General features: G+C 34.2%; 1 pseudogene across 1 annotated transcript in view; it reads right to left on the bottom strand.

The window, feature by feature from the left end:
- Positions 1-27,516, bottom strand: part of GRM5P1 (GRM5 pseudogene 1) — a 251,892-nt pseudogene that overhangs the window by 215,606 nt on the left and 8,770 nt on the right. The window contains exon 2 of the transcript NR_027044.1: positions 17,908-18,768. The product of NR_027044.1 is annotated as a GRM5 pseudogene 1 (transcript). The remainder of the gene's footprint in view (positions 1-17,907; positions 18,769-27,516) is intronic.

The raw sequence follows: 27,516 nt of genomic DNA, 5'->3' as shown, positions 1-27,516 counted from the left end.
GATAATTAGTGACATAACAAAGTCAGATAAATTAACTCAGCCATACTTAGTGAGAAGGTTGATAGAAAACTTAAGTCTCCTTAATACTAGTGCTTCGTTCTTCAGATTCTGGTATAATTTGATAGCAGGACATATACATATGTATAGCATATATTTCAATAAATCTATAGAATGCTTTTCTAGTTTTCTATCACAAGCACTCTGAACATTAACATTACACATGTTAAAGTTTAAGCATTGAGTTTATTGAGGCTTTCTTCAAGTTTTCTTAACACAAGAATGCTGTATACTTGATTATTCCAGATGCATCCCTAATGAGATTTTACAGGAGTCATTGTGGTTGCGCATGGTAAGGATGAGGTCTACTGAAACTTTTTATTTCCTAAATGCCTTATATTAAAAAGTCCTTACATCTCTTATTCAAGATTTCCTACTAAATTGTTTACAAAACTTCCTTGCTGAATAATCACAGTAAGGTGGTTAGCTGGGTAGTAGACACTAAGGAATGCTGGGTTTCCGGGGAAACAGTGCCACGGGAAGCAACAAAAGAGACAACAAAAACTGTAGATGTTATATTACACAATATTTTTTTTTTTACTCCTGTTATATTGTTATACATTGTTATTCTTGCATTTTCCTTCTTTCTGGGAGACATTGTCTCTCTTTAAGAACTCTAAAATTGACACCAATAACAACACACCAAGCATGACATTAGTATAAAATCTATTAACCAGAATTCATCTTTTTTCAAAATAATACAATGACAATGGGTGCAAGTATGAAACACATTTTTTTGATCAGCTGATCCTAATGTATTTCCTAAATGATAAAACTTGGATATTTTACATCTTCCCTGATTCTTCCAGTAAAATTCTTTTTCAATAAAAGTGTCTTCAGAATGATTGGCCTTTATAAGAGAGCCCAAATGGTTTTTTTCTTATACAATATGTTGTGTCTCTTTGGCTTTATCAGTGGTTACAGAGCTTTGTGGTAATCTCAAAATATCAACACCATCCATCCTGGGGAAGTATTTTCTCCAGCAAAAGGAGAAAAAGCAAGACAGAAACAATCATAAGGCCATGTGAGGTTGACTTTCTCAGGGAGCACTTTGATAAATACGTTCTTTTATTTAATGTCTTTGTGCCTTCATTTCCTCATCTGGTAAATGGTAATTAAAAGTACTTAACTCATAGCATTATTGTAAGGACTAAATAAAATAGAACCACAATGGCTGGAACATATTAAGGAGTTAGTATTAGCTATGACAATAAAAGTAATCATATATTTAAAGAATAACTCTCTAAAAATATATAAAAACAAAGTCCTTAAGATGGGTTGTTTGATGTTCTCAAGTTAGTATAAAATTGAGAATCTTAGGAACAGATGATCTAATTCAAAATTCTATGATCTTATGCCCTATCATACTTAAGAACACTGAATTATTGGTAAAATATTCTAATACTATGGACAAACACCCTATAGTTTACATGCGTATTTGACTAACTAGTCCATGGTGGAAGTAAAACTAAACATGATTCTAAATATAAATGTGTCTAGGAGGGGAAAACTTATCCAATTAGATGATTTAAAAAATTATTGGAAGAGTTGAAATAAAAATTACTTGTAGAGTTAAGAGTAGAACTTATGAAGAAAGATTAAAGGATGATTTACCTTAGAGTTGAGGTCTAACAAATTTTAGTAAAAATCTTACTCTGGATATATGGACACATTATATATTTAAAACTTCAAAATTATATTTTGTAAGACAAAAACTTTATTTCAAAAGCAACTTAAAGTGGGTTATCCATGGGAAAGGATAGGCACAAAGTTTTCTTTCTTAAGCCAGTAATAAGATGAGTGTTTTTATACTACCTAAACTTTTTATGCCAGCAATTATTTATTTAAAACACTTACAATATTGCCGTTATAATAAATCTTAAAAACTATTAATATATTTTCAAGTTGTACAAGAATCTAATCTTTTTGATTATTTTTGTTTTTGTTGTTATTAATTTAATTAGATTTTTTAAATGCAGAGATAAATATCACATATTTATATTCCTTTATGTGCTTTTTGGAACTGTGAAAAATAAAAAAGACTCTGAGGGCTCCCCAACTGGCAATGTTGTGGAGAAAAGATAGGATATTATAATGCCACGAATAACAATGTCCATAAAAAGTATGAATAACAAGAGAAAATGTGCTCCTTACAATGCTCAGTAAAATGAAAAAATGCAAACAAAAACATCCAATATTATGTATATAGCTGCATTTTTAAATTGTGCATAAGATAATTAGAAATGATGATAAAATGTTGAAAAGTTTGATTTCTGTTGCAATATTAGCAATTAAAAATTTTTTCTTCTCTTGTTTCTTTTCTAAATGTTAAATAATACCTAGCTATTAAATCACTTTTATATTTGGAAATCATGTATCTTTTAAAATATATTATTTGCATCCTCCTTATTTTCACTTAATACATATAGTTTAAGTTGTTCTCAGACACCAGAATATTAGGAGAATAATTCAAAATCCAAAAAAAGGACTTGAGAAGTTACACTTGAAATCATGGCTAGGCCAAAACAAAAATAAGAAAAATAGTATTAACAGATAGCACTTATTGACTGTCTATTATATACTATACATCATAAATATTGCATACATATTTTTTAAAATACTATTAATTTAATTTGCATAAATATTTGATGTTTGTTTACCATTATTTTCATTTTCTGTGACTTGGTTTAAATAAATTAATGAATGCAATGTGCTCAGAAAACTGCCTGGACACCTGGTAAATTTCATGTAATTGTTTTCTAGCAGTAGCAGCATCAATTATTTTACAATTGATGAAAGTTGAGATTTACAAGGGTTAAATAAGTTGTTCAAATTCTAGTTTATTTAACCATAGAGTCTAGATCTATGTCCTTAAACACAGTGATAAAAACAGTAAACTAAAAAAAGCATATAATATATATACATACATATTTCAATTATAATAGAACATACATTTGTTGTGAGAATGAGTGCCTTAAAATAAATATTATCTGAATGTTAAGCATATTTTCCGAACAGTACCCTGGCACCAGGAGCCTCGTTCTGTGCAAGCACTCCTACTCACCAGCTCTGTGACCTTAGACAAGTTGCTTAAATTTCCTAGACCTGAGTTGCTTTTCTAAAAATGAGGAGGTTGAAAAAGAACAAATACTGGCAGGAACTAACATTTTTGAACCCTTATTGTGTGCCAAGTATTATGCTAAATTAATGATCACAACTGTCCTATGAGCCAACAATATTGATAATCATCCCTTTTTTGAAATGTGGTAATTTAGGCATAGGGAACTTGCTTCATTTCCACAGCAAATAGTGTTGGACCAGCAAATGAGATAACACCTGGTATTTAAACCCAAGTGTATCTGAATTCAATGTCTGCACTCTTTCTTGATGACTACTCAGAGCTCCCACTGCTGGAACTCTCAGATCTGTCCCTTCCAGATCTGAAACTTTATGAATATTGTTAATTACTGATGGAGCATAAATATGTGAAAAAGGAGTTTAACTTCTTCCCCCAGCCAATCAATATCTCACTGTTTTTGCTGTTATAAAGACATCATTAATGAAGTCTTTGATTAGCACCTAATTTCCAAAGTACTGTACTCAATATTTTGTAAGAAAACTTAAAAGCCTAGTCCAAGTGCATAGATCTTGGCACATAGTGAGTGTTCATTTAATAATTAATTTATCAGGCAGTCGTACACTTACAAAGTGCATTAACTGATTATTCAACTGACCACCATAACAAAACATTGGTACAGAAAGTGCAGGTACAGCCATCTGTCATCTTGCAAATGAGGATCTGTCTATTTATAAAGGTTAAGTGAGCTGCCCAAGGTCATCCCAAAGTGGAAAATAAAATATGGTTTCCAGAGCAATTCCAAGATTAATACTCTTTCCACTGACCTTGAAACCAAATTGTTTTTATTTTGTAAAAGTATCAGAAACAAAGTTTTACATATTCAAGCTGAATTACTTCAGCATTAATTTCTGCTCTTTCTTGGGAATGGTTAAAATTTATTTCAGTTGCCTATGATTAGAAATTGTGTACAATCTGCAAAACTCCACTCATGTCCACTTTAGTATTTCATATATAAAATGTTGAATTTTTAAATTTTTCTTTTTTGTGTTTCTAAAGGACATTTTTTTATCCAGCTAATGGCTCAAGTGTTATACTCTCTTCAGCCTCTTCAAATTTTTAAATTGTATGCATCAATTTTCCATGTATTGACAGACTGAAGGTAAAAGCAAAAGTATGTAACAGGTTTTGAAGCTAGGAGAAAAATTTCCAGCCAAACAAACTCAAATTACTAATCTCCAAAGTCACAAATAATGCAGTCTCCTTTAAAAAAGGTACATTCCAAATACGAGAAAGCAATTCAACCCAACCATCAATTATATTGATTATTCAAAAGAAGAGAAAAAGTAAAAGGCTAAGACTCAGAAAAAAACAGGAATAAAAATAAGATTGAGAATTTCAAAAAAGAGACAGATACCAAGAAACATTTGAGATTATGAATCAATTCAGTCAAAGATGTTAAATTTATACCAAGAAAAATGTAGCACGGTTAAAATATAAAAAGTGTTTATTTAAGTCTTTCCATAGTTCCACACAGATAATTAGATAATTATTATGAGAGGTCGAATAGTCCTAAAAATAAATTGTTTCACTGTTAAATAAGCCAGAGAATATCTTAATTACTTATTATGGATTTTATAGGTTATTGTTTAAAGTTGTATGCTATATCTGTCAGTGTGGAAGATTTAAAATCTCACTCTTTCATTAAAAAATGATATTAATGGTGTGCAATTCAGACTTCCTGTCTCAAAGGGAACAGTACTGATGATCTTCATACTGAATCAGAGCCATTCAATAGCATAAACAAAAAGGAATTACTACACCATCTACAGTGCTCTAAATGATATAAAATAACATTGTATTAAACAAAAACACAACACAATTTTTTTTTTACTTCAACCAAAGCTATCCATACATATTCTATTCATCTCTTGCCATATAGATAACTTTGTGAGTTTCTGCTTACATATGAACATATTCTTTCTATGAGGGGAAATGTTCTATTTTTATGGAGCCATGGCTTGGTATATATCTGAGAAAACTCATGTGCTAGCAAGTGCTTCCATTTCACTTTTTCCACAGTATCTACCACAGAGCTGAGTACAGACTATCTACCCAATAAATATTTGTAGACTAATGAATAAAATAATTTGTTTGTGGTAGTATCACGTGGACCTCAAGCTCTATTTGGTGTGCTTTCCTGGACTATATATTTGCATTGAAATGCAAATATCTGTATTTCATTGAAAATTATATTTTGTCCAAAAATTTCTCTCAAAGCACAAGTTTTAGGTTATTTTTATAAGTTCAAAATCTTGTCAAATTAAAGTACTACCAAGCCCTCAAATCTGTTTTTTTTTTTTGGGCGGGGGGGAGGGAATGTATTAGGTATAAGAGGCTTTGCTGTTATCAATTTTATATAAATACAAAGTCGTATAATATTGTAAGCTTGATTTTTAGCATATGTATTTTAATAAAACCTATAGTTTTAACATAATATATAATGGAATCTATAGTTATTTACATGTTTTTGTATCCTCTGAGCAAAAAATTCATATCAATTATTCTCAATCATCCAAATTATAAGAAATGAATGAATGCATTGAGAATTGAAAACAATAAAATTCAATTTCATTACAAATAATATAGCCAGATAGTATATTTCTCTGTCTTCACATATTTCCTGTTTTATGAAATCATTTCCATAAAAACATATTGTCAACATCATTTGTAGCTTTTTTCTTTTTTTAATTATACTTTAAGTTCTAGGGTACATGTTCACTAATTCCATAAAACTGAAATTAAACTGACATGTACTTCAGTATGTCTTACTTAACTTTTATATTTTTTCAGCTTCTCAAAGGATAAAATGCTATCATATGTAATTCAGTAATATATTTTTCATTAACAAAAATGGTGCTCTAACTTTATTAGGGAAAGTCAAGGATTGAAATCCTAACCCAAATCTAGTGAAGGTCAAATATATGACAGTTGAAAAGAGGGTATATAACCAAGTAATATGAAGACAGTTTCTGAAGAAATCATTAAAAATACAAATAATTATATTTTTATTGTTCTTGAGGAAAGGAATGCAGAAATATCTTTTCATTCTAGTTTTATTCTATCTACTTTTCATTGCAGCTATGAATGAGACTACTGACTTTCAGGTAGTATTAATAATATATTAATAACAGCACAAAAATCTACCTTGATATCACTTTATAGAATAAAGGAACTTTTACAATTTCTGAAAATAAACACTTGATAAATAAGGTATATATTCATTGTTATTATTGGAACTACAACAATCTGGCAGAGCATTTAATTTAGTTTTCAAACTAATGCAGCAATTAAATGTAATCTGCCTATTTCCTAGGGTCCATGTTATTTCTTTTGGTTTTAACCTCAGGCCCATGGCATATCTCAATGTGCTACAACTTGCTTCTATTAACAAAGTTTCTAGTTGGACAAGTAAAGGCACATGAGCATGTCCAATTTGAAATTTACAAAGAAGTTATCTATCTACTGCTTGCACTTATTTTTTTTCACTATAAAATTTGCTTATGCTTGTTGAAAATGTAAAAAGGAATTCAAAAGTACTTGAAGTATAGCATTAAGTTTCCATCTTTAATCCCCTGTAGTTTCATCTCCTACACCCACGCACATCAAAGATAACCATGTTCACAGCTCTGGAACTGTCCAGGCCTTGCTCATCTTACCACAGCATAATGCCTCTCAACATACATCACCAATTGGAGGAGGAAAGTGTGGGGTGTATTTGTACTTATGCCAAAGCAATAAGCACCCTACCTTTTTCGTGCAATTGCAAACTTATCTTCTAAAGTGAAAATTAGTAAGAGTCTAAAACTCACTACATATATTGGTAACTTTCCTGACCAATTCTCCACTCCATTATGTTGTCAATTATGACTGGGCAACAATTAATTGAAACATCATTTACGTTTTTTTTCTTCAAGGCCAAGATAAGGCAAGACAGGTTCTTGGCAGGAAAATTTAGAAGATACTTACTGAATGTTTTCTATGTGCCAAGCTTGATACTAAGTGCTTTATATTTAGTTTTCAAAACAAACTTATAGGGGAGGTATTTTTATCTCAATTTGATAATGAGGAAATTAAATGTACTTGTCCAAAGTCCCTCAACTAGCAAGACTATTAATCAGTATTTGTACTCAAATTTGCCTGGGTTCATCCTACTACTTAAATGAGAACTATTTCAAAGGGTCAAAAAACAGATTCCAAAGATATTTTTGCAACAAACTGTGAATTTAAGTTATTGCACTGTAGGTTACTTATTTCATTAAACTACTTTTATAATACTTTTAAAAGCACACTCTCATACATTACCATAATATATTTTACCCATAGTATTTGGCCCAAGCTTCTCATTCTCAAAAGAAGTCTAAATTTTAGACTTGACTATATATCAAATGAAATTATTCATATAATTTTTGGGACACTCAGAGAATAGTGGAAGATTGCCACTTTATATATTTAAACTTGTGGCTTATTACACATAGTGCACATGTGGTGTACTATGACTTGTTTATATAGCCAAAAAGTTATCTTGTAAATGGCACAAATGCCTTATATTTTATGTGCTTGTACCTGTATGTCTCTGTGTATGTGTGGGGGGGGAGTTAGAAATGTTAATTTGTTAAATGTAAATGTTTAATGTCAAAATAATAATATTTTTGGCATTTATTTCTTAGTGTACTATATTGGGATATTAAAAATTAAAATGCTCCCAGGCTGTCTTTATCACTGATAAAAACTAGGACTAGAAACTCCCCTGACCTCCTTGTCTAGTATCCACTCCATTGTCCTATCCTGATGCGTATACCATTTACCAAAATTATACCAATTATTTACATAATTGGTATAATTGTTCAATGAGTAACCTACAGTGCAATAACTTAAATTCACAGTTTGTTGCAAATATATCTTTGGAATCTGATTTTTGACCCTTTGAAATAATTCTCATTTAAGTAGTAGGATGAACCCAGGCAAATTTGAGTACAAATACTGATTAATAGTCTTGCTAGTTGAGGGACTTTGGACAAGAAAATTTAATTTCCTTATTATCAAATTGAGATAAAAATACCTGCCCTAAGAGATAGTTGTTCGATGCTTCTATCATTTCCTACCATGGGTGCCTTGAAATTTTTGCTTGTTTTAAATAAGACATAAACCCATCACTCCAGAAAATATAAATTAAATGACATTGTCACAGAAGAATAAATTCATGTGTATTGGTTACATTTCTCTAGAAAAGTATTTAGGAACAAAGTGAAAAAGAGAAGTAGAGTAAGTCACTTTTAAACTTTTAATTTTTTAGCTGCAAGACACAGAAGAAATATATTTTAAATGATAACCCACAGGCTATTTATGGCTATGTGTAACTAAAGTGAAATTTACAAAATATCTAACCTATGATGTAATACATGTTGATATTTACATTTTACTCTAGTCTATTTTAATGTATTCTCTATTAAATTCTGATTTCAACCCTCTAAATTGGTTTTACAAATAACTTATGAGTTATCCACTATTTAAAAAAAAAGAAAAACACGGACTAGATAATCTCTTTCTTTAGAATCTCATTGTGTGTGTGTGTGTGTGTGTGTGTGTGAAAATCAATGTGTAAATGTAACATTGGGCTGCAGTCACTTTACAAAGTCCCCTAAAATAAATGTATTTGACTATTACACCTCTTGCCAAAACATCTCCTCAATTCAACATGTGAATGTTTGATAAATCTTTCTGGAGTATTTGCAAATGTGCCAAAATGAGATTTCATAACCCACAACCCTGATGAATTCCAAAGAATTGCCTTTCATATATAAGGCTACATTATTTAACAATATATCCTCCAGCTCTTAAAAAATTCTGTACCATATTGCTTCCTGCTATTATTGGCATCTGAAGGACAGAGTGTGGAGCCTGTGATGGAGATGTAAATAGAAACAACCAAGCACAGTCTGTGCTTTTCATCAGACTCACGAAGAGGTCTTCGTTGAGGTCAACTTGTTACCACAGGCCCCCTCCTTAATTTGTTTTCTTTTCACTATAATTAACCCATTCCATGGGAACAAGGAAAGGTGCTGCTTTCAAAGCTAGATGAAAAGACACAAAAATATGCTCAAAAGATACTCTCAGTGGAGAAACAAATAGGGTTTTTTGTTTCCCAGGGAAGGAAAAAGAACCAGGTGATGTCCATTCTACTTTTCCTTGGAGCCACACCTACTCCAATGTAAAGGAATGAGATTTAGATTTGTTTCAAAGGAGTTGGCTTTGGATCTAAATCCTTACTCTGCCACTAACTTTAGCTGCAGAAAAAAAATCACTCTTTCCTTGTCCATTCTACTAAAATGGTTACTTTATCAGACTGTGTTATGAAATAAACAAACTAACCAAATTTAAAATATATTATATGTGGCCGGGTGCAGTGGCTCACGTCTGTAATCCCAGCACTTTGGAAGTCCAAGGCAGGCAGATCATGAGGTCAGGAGATCAAGAACACCCTGACTAACATGGTGAAACCCCCTCTCTACTGAAAATACAAAAAAATTAGCTGGGCATGGTGGCACGCACCTGTAATCCCAGCTACTTGGGAGACTCAGGCAGGAGAATTGCTTGAACCTGGGAGGTGGAGGTTGCAGTGAGCCAAGATCGCACCACTGCACTCCAGCCTGGGTGACAAATTGAGACTCCATTTCAAAATAAAAAAATATATATATATATAAAGTGATTATGTTTCAACTCACAAAGTAGTAAGATCCCAATGGCAACTGATTGTCAACATTGGGAATTATCAGAAGAACAAATAGTCCAACATCGTTCTTTCCTCAACTGAGGTTTAAGTCCATTTTTCCAGAGTCCTCCAAGTGATTGTCCATTCCAGGTTTGTGCACAAGGAGTTACAGAGAACTAACTCACTACCTCCTAAGAGAGGCAATTCCTTTATTGAACAGTTCTGCTAATAAACAACAAAAAAATTTTTTTAATTAAACCATACTTTGTTACTCTTGTATTTTAGTAATTAGCTGTCTCTGCCAACTGCTGGCCATACAGAGTGAACCTAGCTCTTTTCCACCTGAATTTACAAATATCTAAATAAACAAAATATGTAAATATATCAGATACCTAAAGGTAGCAGTCAGGGCCCTGCTGTGTCTTGTCTTCTCTCTACTAAATTTATTCTCTGAGGATATGATTTCAAATTGCATAACCATTTGGGCTACTCTCCTTTGAACAGGCCCTGCTTGGCTGCATTTGATATTGGTCTTGCCCTGTCACCCAGGCTGAGTGCAGTGGTGCAAACTTCGCTCACTTCAGCCTCAACCTCTTGTCCTCAAGTGATCCTCTGCCACAGTCTCCCAAGGAGCTGGGTGCACACCACCATGTCTAGCTAATTTTTCTTTTTCTTTTTTTTTTTTTTTTTTTTTTTACTTTTTGTAGAGACAGAGCCTTATTATGTTGCCCACCCTATGTCCAACATTTAATGTAGCCCAGCTGTAGTCTGCAGAAGTTTGATCATAGCAAGTCACAGAAACTTAGTCTTGGAAGAAATCTGTATGAACATTATTTGCAGTGCCTGTTTGTATATAAAAAAAAAAGATGCAAGGAGTTGAAGTGACTTTCTTGGAGTCACAGAGTAAAATCCTTAGTTCTCATGTCAGTTATCTTACTTTTAGCACAGTTAGTCATTTTAACTTATTTTTCCAACTCCAAGATAGTATTAATGTAATCTTCATATTTTATCTGTTCACTATCAAATTAACAGGATAATGACGAGACTGACAGAAGAGCCTGCAAAAACAAAAACAAAACAAAACAAAACAAAAACACTTCCAGTTAAAAAGAGATGAGGAAAAATGATAAATAAGAAAGAAAGACAATGTCGATTGTGGTAGCTCACACCTGTAATTCCAGCACTTCAGGAGGCCAAGGCAGGTGGGAGTTTGAGACCAGCCTGAGAAACACAATAAGGCCTCATCTCTACAAAAAATTAAAAAATAAAAATTATTCACACGTGGTCACATGTGCTTGTAGTCCCAGATACTTGGGAGGCTGAACCAGGAGGATCATTTGAGACAAAGAGTTTGAGACTGCAGTGATCTATGACCATGCCACTCTTCTTCAGCCTGGGCAATAGAGAGAGACCCTGTCTCAAAGAATAAAAAAAGAGAGAGAGAAAGGGAGAGAGACAAAGAAAAGGGAAGGAGGATAGGAAGGTAAGAAGTTATAAAGGAAGGAAGGAAGGAAAGAGAAGGAGGATGGAAGAAAAGGAGGAGGGAAGGAAGAAAAAAAATTCTCAAGATACTCCCTCGAGAGTTTTGAGGATCTCTATTCTTGCTTTCTCTTATATGCTTGCTTAGTTTATGTTGGGCAGAATTTACTGTGCATAATTTGCTTTTCATTCTGTGTTTTATGTGTTTCAAGCTGTACATTGGAACATAAACATCTCACAGCATGCCCTCTCATTCCCCAGGGTTCCTTATGCAGAAGCAACTTCAACAGAAGTGGCTGAACACTATAAACCTAGAAGCTAAAAGGTTTTAATGACATCTGGAATAAGAGTGACCAAGGGAAAACATGCATGTGTGCGGCTGCCATCCATAAGAAGGGTAAATACTGAATACCTGATAGGCTACATCCTAAGAGATGATCTTCACATTTAGGTAAGCATCTGATTATTTAGAACTGTGGAAGTGTCCACAATTGCACATCACCAGAGATATTTGTGCATTATGGGGGAGCAGTGCAGTGAAATCCGCTGAAAACAAAATTCCTTTTAACTCAGCTTAGTCATCCTGGACATGGAGTATTTGTGGGCGTTTTCTAGTATTTTCAGCAATTGATGACAGCAATGGTGCCTAAGAGAGAGGAAGGTGGGATGCTATCCCAGGCATTAGTCTCTTATAGGTGAGCCAGAGTCTAAGCCAGAAATTGTATCATCAGAAATGAATCTGAATATAGAAGAAACACTGCCCAAACCACATGTGGATATGTCAGCAAGCTCTATATTTTTCTCTGAAAGAGGCAATAATAACTCTCTTAGAAATTATTTACTGAGTCCATAGGCTGTTCCTTCTGGAAAGGGAAGAGGAGGGAATGCCCCTCTAAACACTCCTTCCAGAGCTATCTGTATTTTTTTCACTGTTAGCAATGAAGTTTCTGACAGTGATATATGAATATGAAAAACTGTTTCTTTACAATTAGAGTTGCCCACTGTGTTTCCCAGATTACGGATCCATGATCCAACTTACTAAAGAATTCCCCTAAAAGTTTCTGCATCTTCTAAATTGTATATATTGTTAAGTCAGTGGTAACTAATATAATTATACAATCAATCCATAATTTCAAAGATTTCTGGGGATCTCATGTTTTCAGAATTTTTGTGGAGCAAAGGAAAATCTTTCAGAGCTTCCGCAAACCTTTGATATGACCCAGGAAAAGGAGCACTTCATCTAATTTACAGATCAAGAGCAAATTGATCATGCTATTTCTCAAGGCTAATTTTTATTTTTATTTTTCGAGACAGTTTTGCTTTTGTCACCCAGGCTGGAGTGCAATGGCGTGATCTTGGCTCACTGCAACCTCCACCTCCCAGGTTCAAGCAATTCTCCTGTCTAGGCTAATTTTTAGATGAATTATTTCATTTGTGGTCCCTTCTACTATTTCAGATAGTTATTAACACTTTCAGCCAATTGTTTAGAAATATTGGTGCCATTGAGATAAAGGGAGAGCGAATAAAACAATGCAATGGAGGGGTAGAAAAATGGCAAAAAGGAATCTGACTAATAATCTCCAGCAATGTTTTGGAAACCAAGTTCTGGACAGAAATCTTGAGTTCCAAGACACAACTCTGCAACTAATTATCTGACAAGCAAGGTAGAGTTATGTGACCTTTCTATTTTAGTTTCCTTAACCGTAAAATACAGAAGATTAAATGCTGGCCTGAGACACAGTGTTCACATTCTATGGAAGGAATAGTACTTTATGTGTCTTTATTATTACCATGATCATCCCAAAATTTGTTTTAACTCTCAGCACTATTCAATTCCTGGGGAAACAAAATAAAGTCCTTTTAAAAATTATTCAGTAGCTTCCACAGTGCCATTTATTATTTTTCCAAGCTAAATTGTCTTGTATAATGATAATTAGTAGAAATGCTGAGATGGTAAAAGTGTACTTTTTAGAAGTCATACAAGCATATAGACTATTATTTTTCCAAGCTAAATTGTCTTGTATAATGATAATTAGTAGAAATGCTGAGATGGTAAAAGTGCACTTTTTAGAAGTCATACAAGCATATAGACTATGAATCATACTGAAGGTCCTTCAATCAAAGCTGGATTGTTATCACATTTTTAAGTAAATAACTGATGGGAAGTCATATTATAACCTGAAATTGCAATCTCTAGGTTAACCTGAAGACCATATTTTTAATAATGTATGCTACCAGTACAATTTATTGGTACATTTTTCTCCTCAGAACATCACTGATTTGTTTTTTGCTGTAACAAATTAACATTCCTGTCATTAGACAGAAATAATAAATTCAAGAAACAGTGAAAACAAAAAATGAAGTGTAGCATGAACAGGATTTTACAATTAATCAAGGGAGTCATTTTGACACCTCATTTTTATAAAGAAGCAAAACTGAAAACTTACAAGTGCCTGCTATTTATCCACATACTATAGTCATAAATAGTGAGCTACCTACTTTACTAACACAAATTCCTCTATTCAGCAAATAGTCTTTGAGCACATACTATATGATGGGCACTCTAATAGGCCCTGTGGATATACTGTAGATTTTCAACTAAAGTCAGGAAAACTAGTGAAGTGTGAAATCTTGTCAATCACCCAGAAAGTACAATATAAAATTTTTTTTGTATAAAACACAATGCAATAATTACTTTTCTCAATGAAGTTGAACTAGATCAAGGTAAAGAATATAATAATGAAATATATTCAAGTGCTTAACTATTTGAAACATTCAGACTTTAAGGGAACTATCACATCTCTAGCCACAGAAGCATAGGCAAAGCATTTTAAATATTTCTTCTTGTCCACAGTATATATTCTATTTTATTTCATATTCAAATTTCAAGAATATTAATGCATGTTAATTTATTTTTTTGCTTTTGAAGTTTAAGCAGTAGTATCTTATTTGGGAGGAGGGAAGTTAGAGACTAAAGTGAGAGGGATGAGTATGTTTATACTGGACTCCATCCTGATGGCATTTTTAATTGCTCACAATAATAGTCAGCTGGGTAATGTTGAGGGTTTCAGCTGGGCTCAATTATGTGATTGCAATTAGCTGTGGGTTGGAAAGGCAATTTTGTTGATCTGCATTGCACGCTCTCACATGTTTGAGGTCAACTGGTCTAAGATGCACTCATTTGGAAAACCTGGGTGCTCTCATACTTCACAGGATAACAATAGGGTTCCAACACAAACTAGGAAGAAAGTTCTCACATCAACCAAGTGCTATTGGTCAAAGTGTCAGAAGGCCAGTGCTACATGAAAGTAAAAGGGAATTATCAAGTCAAAAGCAAATGATGTGAATACAGAGGCGCCAGTAGTAGAAGTCATCAATGCAATCTGCCACATTGCTAAATGGGCAAACACCATCAATCCTGTGTCATCGTGGGCACATGTATCAAGGTTTGCAAAAGTACTAAGGCAAAGGACCCTTTACATTTCCTTAGTGCAGAGAGAGTTCTGACTCCATTAAAAGAAGTGATTTTACTTTTCTTCTGAGTCATTGCATATTCCTTTCCTCTACCCAGTTGAAGAGCTAGTTTGATCTGCTCTTTAAAAAATGCTTTCTTTTTTTTTTCTTCTTCTGTTTTATACTATGAATCTCTTTGGCTACAAGTTCTAGGCATAATTTCTGTGTAATAGAACAAGCCACAGTAAATACCCAGTCACACAGACTGCTAAAGCCATAAATCACAGGAAATAGCAAGTGTAAGAGATTAACATCGAAGCTGAAACCCAGTTTTCCTTGTACACTCCTCTGGAATTCTGTGATGACATACGCTTTCTTGAAGGAACATCTTGTGGTACCCGTGACACAGTGTGGTTAGGTTTAAGTATAAAATACATAGGCAATTAGGAGAAAAAACGTTTTTTTGAAAATAGGACCACAGACCTTGATGGTTCATGTGAAAGCATTTGGAAATTTCCATACTCTTCAAGAAAGAGAATATTGATGGAACAAAGGAGAATAATTATAAGAATATGAAGATAAATTATCAAGTACTGGGATTAATTCTCCTAATGCTAGAGAAAATCACCTCAAGCCAGTGAGAGAAAGAGACTGGATGATAACAGACACTATCATTTCATGGAAGATCCCACCAAGACTTTCTGAAAAACCAAGCGGAAAAAAAAAAAAAAAGCATGACCTTAGAGAGTTCCCACAGTACCCAACAAAGCTGTATCCTGTTTGACTCTCACTTTTCTGATCCTGGAGGTGAGTTTCACCTTGTGAAAATTCCTACAATGCCATTCTTGTACTGATAAATCATAAGACTTAACACTACATAACCTCGTTATCCACCTACTTGCTTGGGATCAAAGCAAGATAAATATTTCTTGACACAACCACATAAACAGTAAGCAAAGGAGTATTTCTTCCAACTTTTGAATGTCCAATTCCAAGGTTTGTTCTCTCCTGAATCCTGGTGGTACAACCTAAATATTTTGCCTGAATTTGGCATTGCAATTTCTATTGTCTTTTGTTTGCCCACAAATAGAATGTTTTCATGTAATTGTTATATTTCAGTAGGTAAATTATGTATTTAATATAGAGCTTAAAGTGTATGTATATAAAAATTATGCATAAAATATTCCACCTCATTTCTTAACTTAGATTTCTTCTCAGAAGCAGCAACTTTTAGTAGTTTTGCTCTTCTCTGAGAACAATTCTATGAATATCCAATCAAATTGTTTGTATAAAAACGCCTTTTAGAAAAAATAAAATGTTATATATACGGAAATGCCCCTTGTTTTTTTCACCTAAGATGATCTTGGAAATTGTAATCATTACCTAATAGAATGTCTCATTTATTTTAATAGCTAAATGATAATGCATTGTTTGAATGCATCATAACTTATTTTATGAGGTTATTAGATTGCTATTGGGGTAAATTCAGGATAAAACAACAGTTTAAAGTAGTAAAAGCCAAAGGTCGTCACTAAGAGTTTCCCTTGGGGCACAATTGATTTAGCATTTGCCACACCGTGACCAAGCCCTGATCTTCTGAAGCTAGAAGGGAGTCCCTGATAAAATGCATGATTTATTTGAAGCAAACCAAAACATACCTTTATAATTGGCCTTTTCAGACACATTTTTACTTTCTCACCTAGTCATATTTTCTTATGCTTTTCACTGAAAGCCATCCCTGCTAATTTTCACCGTCAGTATTTTTATTGTTAAATTTCAATTGTCAAATTCCATTTCCTTCTGTAAGATTCCCACCATGATCCCCGTAAACACAGAGGAGGAGGTGATTTTTTTCTCCATCAATTTCCTTTAGAGTCAGATTTGTAACATTGTGTCATTTTGAATTATGATTATATAGGTATTTGTGCATGCCTCATCTCCTTTGCCAGATTGCAATCCCACTGAAGTCTGTGATATAGAAAACAAAGGGCTATCATTCACAGGACGGTCAGAGAGCCTTGCGTATGTATTTGTGCATAATATGTGTTGCATAAATATATTCCTAACCTCTGAAGTGGGGTTAGTAACTTAATTCCACATTTTACCAGACCAAAATATTTGGACTATATTGATATGTTAATGCAGAATTTTAAGAATCTCCACAAATACAATAATCTGATGATTTATAAAAAGTATTTTGTATCTTCTTCAGTATTCTATAGTGTTTAATATACACATTTTGTTTTTCTAGAAGAAGAGCTGCATAACAAGTGAGTCTGCCCATTTGGGTCACAACCTCTGTAGGTCAAAACAAATTTTTTCCAAACAGCCATGGTCAAGAACTAATGATTTTTAAAACACCATAAAAAACAAAGGGCTACTTATTATTCACTACTATAAAACATCAGTCAGATTTTTCTTTCCTCACTACTCTTGGAGCACAAAGAAGCAATAAATTTTAAAGCAAACGTTGAATTATTTAAAATTATACTTCTCAAATATGTTCTGTACAAGGATAAAATTAATTTATTCTTATCTCCATTTTGGATTTGACCATGAATTCTTCTGAAAAAATAGCTGTAAGACTAAACTTTTTGGTAATTCTCTATAACAACACACCTGGGTTAGAACTGGCTACTACCTTCAGTCCTATGTATTTATGTGTACTTTGCTTTCACTATTAGAAACAATAGGCACCTAGAACAATCGTGAAATGACAAAAATGTGAGGTGTTCAATGAAGATACAGAGACTTAAAAACCTCTAGTAATGAATATAAAAAATCATTATAGCAGAAGTATAATATAGCATCAGTATAGCAGAAGTAAATAATGTAATTCACAATTAAAACAAAATTATATTTCACCAAATATTGGCCACATACACCCTTCTGTAGTTTAAGTCTATGTCTCTCTAGATATATGCCATCCAGTCTGTTCTTATAGTACTGGTATAACTGGGACAATTCAAAGTATCCAAAATAATTAGGAAAAGTTTACTCTTCCCAAACCTGAAATTTTAACTGTTGAGTGCATAATAATATATACTCGATGTATGCAAGGGAAACTCACCTTCTGTGTGTACGGCTGATACATAGGTCCAGTTGTACCTCTTCACTATGTCCACCATGGACCTTGCCTGCTGAGCATCTGAAGGCACAACCCTCATGAAATATTTGAACAGAGTCTTGTCACTCAGATCCATGATGGTTGCTGAGTAAGCAATCTGAGGTATGTTGAAAAGCTGGAGCAAATTCTGGACCTGAATGGCTACAGAACTGGAACCAGGCCCAATGACCCCTACTATGGGCTTCTTGGAGCAGAAGGAAGAGGAGGAGCCATCCACAGAGCACACCAAGCCCTCTTCCTCTTCCGAAGAAATGAGGGAATCTCTTATGAACTCAATGCTCTGCTCTAGGGCCACAGCCGAATGCCAGCAGGAATCCCTTATCTCACAGCCCAGTGTGATGTTGGGCAAGAGTGTGGGGTCTGAATTGATCCTTTCCAGGGTATGCAGCATGGCCTCCACTCTCTGAATGCCATACTGTTCACGGACTGCCCCACACTTCCTCTCATGAACTTCGTCCACAGTAGGCTGGTGATGAACAGAAAAGAGAGCTCCAATAATGATGTCACCCAGCATGTGAGCCACCACCCTCCTCTCACTGGACTGTGCACTCCCACGGACATCTTCTTTCAAAAGTAAGACTGACAGGATCAACAGAAGGACCGTTTTAGGACAGGAGTTCCAGCTAATAAAGATAGCATGGTGGGGAAAATTCAGGAGGGTTCTGATAGCTACGAACAAGCGATGTCCTGCGTTGAGTGGCAAATCAAGAAATTAGCCAGCAATTCAGATGTATTCTCTAAAGGACCATTGTGTCCCCATGTACCATTTAGTTAGATGATCCATGTGGTCATGATCTTCTAAACCTGAAAAAAAAAATAACATGGGTCTTTAACAAACATAAATGCAACTAGTTTGGGGAAGTTCTATAATCCATTATAGCAGAGAAAACATTTTGATGATGCAGATAACAAAGAAAAAATAATTCAAAAACGTTTCTGACTTTCCTTTGTCTGCTTCCTTTGTGATTTGATGAAGCAGCTGATGTAGCTTCTTGACCCTGCCTTGCTTAGATTAATAGTATTTTTTTGTTCACCTGCACTACATAAAACCAAATCTTGTGTGTGGCGGGCAGAACTGTATTGTACTCTCAGGCAGAGATGACAGAGCATCCTAGAAGCAAAACTACGCCATGAACAGAAAACTTCAAGAAGTATGCACCCCAGAATATTAAACATTGGTGATCTCTTGGTAATGAAAGTGTGGATAACTGTTGTTAAATTTTCATTAGGCTTTCCTTTTGAAATCTTTAGCCTTGAGCATGTAATTAATTATGCAATTACAAAAATAAAATTATCTTTTCAAAAATACCCCACATATCCTCTCTCCAAATACAATGTCAAGCAAGTTGAATAATCTTCTCAGGAATAAATAAGTATTGTCTAATTAATGTGGATGACATAACAAAAACAAATGAAGAAAGGTGGGTGTTTCATGTTAAATAAACTGTACAGAGTCTTGCAATACAATTCACAGTAATCAGTCCTCTAGCCCTGATCCAGAAAAAAATTCCACATCACTAAGGCTCAAAGGCTAAAAGGATGTATGTTTGGAACTATTCTGCCAGGTAGAAATTTAGTATAGCTATGAATGTCATCATCTATTTCAATTTAAATTCCTGGGAAGAAAGAAATGTTGTCCCAAATTTTCCATGGCAAATTCTAGCATAATTTGTAAAAGAGAACGGACAAATTAGTGATTTGATCACTTAGGGGAATTGTGTAAGAGACTTATTTTGTTATCAACTCTGCCAGCCAAGGATCTCAAATTATTTTAAAGTGACTAACTTTCTAAGCACCGACTTTCAAAAACAGGTGATGTTTCTTCAGGAATGTATGTAAATATCGCACTTTTACAAGAATACTAATGGTTTCAAAGGTCATCAAATCTACAAAAAGTTAAGTCCAGACACAAAATGAATGTAACTTGAATCATGTATCTAATCACTCCTACCATCATTTTCACTATTTCCTTCTACTGTTTCCTATGGCAACAGAGAAAGTCTTCCTATGTACAGTGACAAAAGCTAAACTTTTTAATATTTCATCAAATAACCAGATGTTCCAGAATAACTGGACATTTGTGAATATATAGAAAAAACTAGTTTTGGTACGAAAGTTGGCATTGTAGATACAGAGGAAGAAATGAAGACTGTTAGATTTTTCATTGGCAAGTCATTTGAATATTACCAAATCTTTCTTTCACTTTCCTTAGACCCAAGACCTAAAATAATTATTCTCATGGTCATGTGAATTCTGCTGCAGACAAAAAGAAATATCTAAAGTTAAAGAAAGCACAATTTCTTATTAAATAAGAATGTTAGCGGGTGAACAAATAACAAAACACGACTCATTTTTTATGTAAGAATATCAAAGTGATATGAGAGACCTGGTGTCCTGTCAGGCTCGTGTGGCTGAAATATCAATCCCATTCATTTTATTCATTTAAGTTGTTCTATGAAACCTCTACATATTGAGATACAGTATACATATTAAAACACTAAGATATTGCCTTTTGAAGTTATGCGAAGTTTGTTACTTATTTAACAAAAAATTATTAACTATTCAGTGAAAGAGACTAATGTATCAAAGAACTGTAATAATATACATTGGTAAGTATCATTATGATCTTTCATTGAGCACCTAACATGCCCCATCTATTCATTAACTCACTTAACAAATATTTATGGTATGTATATGCTATAATTCTGTCCTGGGCATTGAATATTCAAGCATGAGCAAAATATACAAGCTCCCTATACTTGTGGGCCTTACATATTGGTATTCTAAAGGGTAACTTTAGCTGAAACATGGTGAATACAAAGAAAAATAAAGATCAAATGGTATTTCTGTCTTTAGGTCTTTGAGGAATCACCACGCTGACTTCCACAATGATTGAACTAATTTATACTCCCACTGGAGAAATTCTATTCAACCCTGCAATCCCATTACTGGCTATATACCCAAAGGAATACAAATCATTCCATTATAAAGACACATGCACACATATGTTCATTGCAACATTACTCACAATAGCAAAAACATAAAATCAACCTAAATGCCCATCAGTGATAGACTGGATAAAGAAAATGTGGTACATATACACCATGGAATACTATACAGCCATAAAAAATGAGATCATGTCTTCTGCATGGGCATGGATGGAGCTGGAGGCCATTAACCTTAGCAAGTTAACACAGGGACAGAAAACCAAATACTGCACGTTCTCACATGTAAATCAGAGGTGAATGATGAGAACACATGTATACATAGTGGGGAACGACATACTCTGGGGCCTACTGGAGGGTGGGAGGAGACAGAGGATCAGGAAAAATAACTGGTGGATACTTGATTTCATACATGGGTGATGAAATAATACGTACAACAAATTCCCATGACACAAGTTTATGTAACAAACCTGCACATGTGCCCCTGAATTTTTAATTTTAAAGACTTAAAATTAAAGTTAAAAAAAGAAAAGATAGTCCCAGCTACTCGGGAGGCTGAAGCAGGAGAATGGCGTGAACCCGAGAGGCGGAGCTTGCAGTGAGCAGAGATCGTGCCACTGCACTCCAGCCTGGGCGGCAGAGAAAGACTCCGTCTCAAAAAAAAGAAAAAGAAAAATATACAGAAGAATGAAAAAAAGGCAGTCACATAAAAAATATGTCTACAACATGAAGAACATGGGAGGCATGATGATACAAGATGAAGATGGAAAGGCAATAAAGGTCCAGGCCATGTAGGACATTGTAGGCTCTTATAAAAATATTTTAATGTTGGCCAGGCGCGGTGGCTCACGCCTGTAATCCCAGCACTTTGGGAGGCCGAGGCGGGCAGTTCACTTGAGGTCAGGCTTTCAAGACCAGCCTGAACAACATGGTGAAACCCCGTCTCTACCAAAAACAGAAAAATTAGCTGGATGTTGTGGTGCACGCCTATAATCCCAGCTACTCAGGAGGCTGAGGCAGGAGAATCACTTGAACCTGGGAGGAGGAGGATGCAGTGAGCCAAGATTGTGCCACTGCACTCCAGCCTGGGTGAGAGAGTGAGACTCCGTCTCAAGAAAAAAAATAATAATAATAATGTTAATTACAACAGAAAGCCATTGAGGAGATTTAAGCAAATGACTGAAACAATTCAATCTTAGAAAGGATTATTCTGGCTGCTCATTTTCCTGGATAATCAATTGAAGAAATCTTATAAAGAAACCTGTAAAAATCTAGCAAGAAATGATGGTGACTTCTCTATGACTGGTGACAGTAGATATGGAGAAAAGTGGTCACAGTCAGATATATTTTCCAAGTTGAATCAACTGTACTTGCTGATAGACTAGATGTGAGTAGTAAGGTAGAGAGAGGAATCAGGGTCTACTCCTAGCTTCTAGTTTGAGAGCCTAGTGCATTTTGACAGCATTAATACAGATAGGATAGACTAGCACATAAACACGTGAGGGGCAGAAGAAAATTAATGATCTTCTTTTGAAAATGCAAAATTTGAGATGCCTTGGAGGCATCCAGGTAAAGATGTCAAACAGGAAAGTGAATATGTAAGGTTGGACTCAGGGGAGAGTTTTGGTTTAGACATGCAAATTGAGGATCATCAATATATAAAATATTTAGAATGCATGAAATCGCCTGGAGAGGAAGTATAAATATTGCAAAGGTGCAGCTAAAAAATAAGCTCTGCTGAGGGGCCAGATTTGGGAAAAGCCAGCTATGAAAAGGAGTCAACCCAAAAAGTAAGAAGATAAAGTGAGAGTAAATGATGTCATAGAGGGCAAAAAGGAATGTTTTAGGTACTTTATTTTTAAAGACATATGCAAGGCTTATATATTTCGGAGAAAAACGTATCTGATTCCCATGGAAGATACTATATTCCATGTACATTCTATACACTGAAGATTTCTGACACAATGGCTATGTCTTTGAGTGTGTCCGTATGTGTGGCATATGTATACCAAGAATCCTTATAACAACCCTAAAATATAGGTACAGGTTGAACAATCCCTACACAAAATGCTTAGGACCAAAATTCAGATTCAGAATCTTTCAGATTTTGGAAAAGTTACATTATACTTACTTACTTCTTGAGCGTTCCAAATCCTAAAATGTGAAATTGGAAATATTCCAATAAGAATTTCCTTTGAGTGTCAAATGGGTACTCAAATATGCTGCAATTTTGGAGCATTTCAGATTTTTAATTTTTGAATTTGGGATGTTTGAACTGTATTATTTTATTACCTTCATTTTACAAATGATGTAATGGGTTTTGATAAGTTAAAAACTAGCTGATCACTTAGAAAATAATGGAGCTAGAATTTATGTCTATGCCTGTTGACTTTATAACACATTGTTTTAACTATTCCTTGCTGCCTCACAGCCCCTTCCTACCAAAAAAAATGAAAGATACTGCTAATGTCCATGAAAACAAGAAGGGCCACCCAGACACAATTTGAACATCCAAGAGATATAGAATCTTACAGGAGTCGCCTTTCAAACTATACAGTAAAGAGCATTCCAGGGAAAAGATGATTCAGCTCATAGAGACACAGAAGGTACAGTGTGTAGGTTATCTAGTACAAGTGTATTTACATTGCCTGGATATCCACCCCAAATTATGGCTCATCAGATTATGCTTCATAATTAGCTATGAACTTAGATACCTGGAATATACTTTAAAAAAATATGACATAGGAATGCGAAAGAACTGTGCTATTACTCAGATTATTGTAAGGCTAAATAGAAAGTCATCTTATGTGCAATCAAAATACAAGAAATTCATAGAGTATAAATTCCAAATAGACCTGAAAGGAATACATCAAATCTATCAGCATCACTCATGTGTTTTCTATAAATGTTTGTTGAATAACACACCCTTCTATGCCCCAAGGATCCAGTTATGGACAAAATAGATATAAAGTCACATCATTATGGAGCCTATACTCGAAGAGGGTTTGCCAGACAAGAAACAAAATAAATATGTAAAATATTGTGTGCTACATGGTGGTGAGTGTCTACAAGCAAAAAAACAAAATGCAGTGAAGCAGTATAGAAAGTGCCAGAGATATAGGAAAGTTTGAGTAATGTGGCCAAAGGAACATAAACTGAAAAAATAACATTTGAGTAAATAGCTAAAAGAATTGAAAGGATTAAAGAATTAAAGGAATACAGAGTCATACAGATCTCTAGAAAAACAACATTCCAGGTAAAGGATAAAACAAATACAAAGCCCCTAAGACAGATTTAATGTTTAGTGTGCTGAGGAGTAGCAAACAGGCTCTTGAGGCTGTAGAAAAGTTAAAATGCAGAGAAAGGAAGACATGGAGAACAAGAGGTAATGTGGTGATGTTGAGCCTGTTTGGACTTTAAAAGGCTTTGGCTTTAACATTTCATGAGAACGTTTTTCTGAGAGGATTCCAACAGAGGAGGAACACATTCTACCTAAAATTTTAACAAGAATAAGGGCACGAAGGCAGAAAATGAGGAGCAATTAGGAAATTTGCACTAACTTAGGTGAGAGAGATGATAGTGGTTGGATTGGAGATACGGTAAGCACAAGTGGTGAGAACTGCTGGGATTCTGAATATATTTTGAAGGTAGAGTGAACAAATTGGCTATTAGAGCTGACTTGGGATGTTGGAGAAAGAGAAAAATCAATGAGGACGCCAAGATTTTCAGCCCGAACACAAAAAGGATGGAGTCGCATCGGCTGTGGTGGAGAATGCTGCGGCAAAGACATGGATAGAAACAACAAAACAACATAAGTTCAATTTTGATATATCAAGTTGCACATACTAGAAACTCAAGAAGAGATCATTGAATGAGCAGGCGGATGTAAGGGGCTGAATTCTGAAGAGAGGTCTGAACAGGAGATAAAATGAGGAAGGTGTGAGTATACAGAAGTCCTTTTTGTAAGCCGTGAAACTGGATTAAATCACTGAGGAAGTGAAAAGAGAAAAGAAACTAGTGCCAGAGATTGTGCCCCAGGGAATTCCAAGGTTCAATGGTAAGGAATAATCAGCAAAGGAGACTGAACGATTTTTTGAATAGAAACTTCCTTTTGTGAAGTGAGGAGAGAGAAGCAGTAAAATGTGAAGTATTCATGTTGTATCATGCAGAAATAAAGGGATGGTATGCTTTGATTTTCTCAAGAAATATTATGGATGGGTATGTATGCATACATAAAGACTGGAAACATATACATTGACATTAATAGAGTGTTCTCTGGATAGTAAAAATATAGTACTTTTGATTTTATTTCTTGTCTTCATCTGTGTTTTCTAAATTTATAAATATAGTAATACAACATATTTACTATTCATTATTATTTTTAATTTGGAACTGAGGGATATGCTTTCTAAATTTCTGCAGCTTTCTCCCTTGAGACCTTATCTCCCTCCATCCATTCCTCCTTGGGAGCCTATTAGTCGTTAGGCTCTTGTCCAAGTATACACTGTTTTATTCCAATGGCTTTGCACATGCTGCTTCTGATCCCTGATATGCAGTTGTTCCAATGGTCTTCATGGCAGAGTTGTTAAGAGCATGGGCTTGGAGTCCAATGACCTGAATTGGAATCCTGACACAGCCATTGATTGGCGGTGTGTCCTTAGGCATTTAGCCTCTCTGAGCCTCAAGCCTTTATTGGCAACTGGAGTGACAGCAGTACCTACCCCAAAGAGTTTTAGTGAGTACTGAATGAGCTAATATTTAAAAATAGTCCCTTCCTAAATTATTACCATATCCCTCACCTGGCAGTGTTTGCTCTATCCTCCAAGCTCACATGGCAGTTTTTTATTTATACTTTCTTATAGTATTCATTACCAAGCTAATATTGTAGGATGTTTAAGGAAAATAGCATCATAAAACTAGAGAGGGCCCTGGAGATGATTCCATTTAACTGAGATCCATGGAAAGCAAATGATTCATAGCAGACCTGGGACTTGAATTCAACAAAATGTCACTCAAAACACAATTTTAATCATAGTTTACAACTTGGTATCAGCTCTTATACAATTTTCTAAGCTTATAATATTTTATTTTTTTATTTAAATAAAATTTTAATATGAAATCTCTCTCATAATATATTTTTATTTTCCTTGTATAATATAAATATCTTTCATATCAGTTCATTTGGATGATGCGGACAATTATAACAACAATTAAAATATACAGAGGGCATATCATGTGTTGTTCACTTTGCTAAGTATCTCACATGAAATGACATTTAGTTGTCATACAAACTGTAAAATAAGTTATGTATGCACATTTTACAGAGAAAAGAACTGAGGCTCAGAGAGATACAGAGGCTTGGCCCAGATTCCCAAGCAAGTGGGTAGTAGCAGAGCCAAGAGTCACATTTAGAACATTTATTTAATTTTATCAGTTGCATGGCATTCAATTATATGTGTGTACCAATATTTAATTATTCCTTATTGTTAGATATTAAGGTTATTTATAGATTTGTCTTAATATCGTAAACAATGTTGCATTTTGCTTGCTTTTGAAAGTATCTTTGTAGCACAATTATTTAAAGATGATATTTCTGGCATAAATGTTTCTCATAGTTTACAATTGATGAATATAGAATATAAAAGATGATATCAACTTCACTCCAAGATCTGTCTCATTAACATCATCAATTCTGAGAACTATCCAATATTCTTTCTGTGAGGATCTACTCTCTCTTGCTTCTATATAAGTTCCTGAGTAAGGCCATTTCTCCTTGTGGTGAGATTTCTCCTGTGCAACGTCACCACAAGATCCATTCATTATTTTAACAAGTGTCTAGTAAAAGAAAAGATGAAGAAAAATACCATAATACTTTATTTTCAGCGTAAAGAGCCCTTTTTCATTCTTGATCTCACGTCTACCTAAAAATAATACTTCTAGAAATGTCTAAGAACATCAATTTCTTATATTAGGAAACAAAGTGTCAAGTAAAATAAATTATTTGCTTTAGGTTATAGCTTTTAGATGGTGGGGATAATATGTCAGTAGAAATAAAGGGGCAGGATTATCCTATAGATAATGGGGAGGCATTAATTCTTGTAATGATAAAAAAGCTTTTAAAATGTTATGATCTACACTCTAATAATATGGTGACATTTAATTCACTAAAAAGTGGGTAAATGTATTAATAGTTTGATTATATAGTATATTAGTTCAAGTATCTATTTTCAGAAGTATGTTTTACTCAGTGTTATATTTCTGGGTCCTTAGCATAGTAAATTAATTACTAGCACATTATAGAAAACAATATACATATTTTAAATACATACAAAAGTATTTCACATCAGGTAACCACACGTTCTCATATTATATCCTAAATGAATATGAAAAAGAGATATTAATGGATAAACTTTGCCATAAATTGCAATCTACACTATAGTCAGATTCACAGCTCACATTGTCCTTTATTTTCAACAATCCTCTAAAATACTGACCATCTTTCTGGCACAGATGTCTCTTATATAACTTAATCTCCACACAAGCAAATCACACAGCTCAGGACATAAACAGTAAAATGATTTCTTCTGCCTGATCAGTGGCCTCATCA

Source organism: Homo sapiens, chromosome 11 (assembly GCF_000001405.40).
Source record: "Homo sapiens chromosome 11, GRCh38.p14 Primary Assembly".
In the NCBI taxonomy this organism is placed as follows: domain Eukaryota; kingdom Metazoa; phylum Chordata; class Mammalia; order Primates; family Hominidae; genus Homo; species Homo sapiens.
This window is presented reverse-complemented; position numbering and strand designations above follow the sequence as displayed.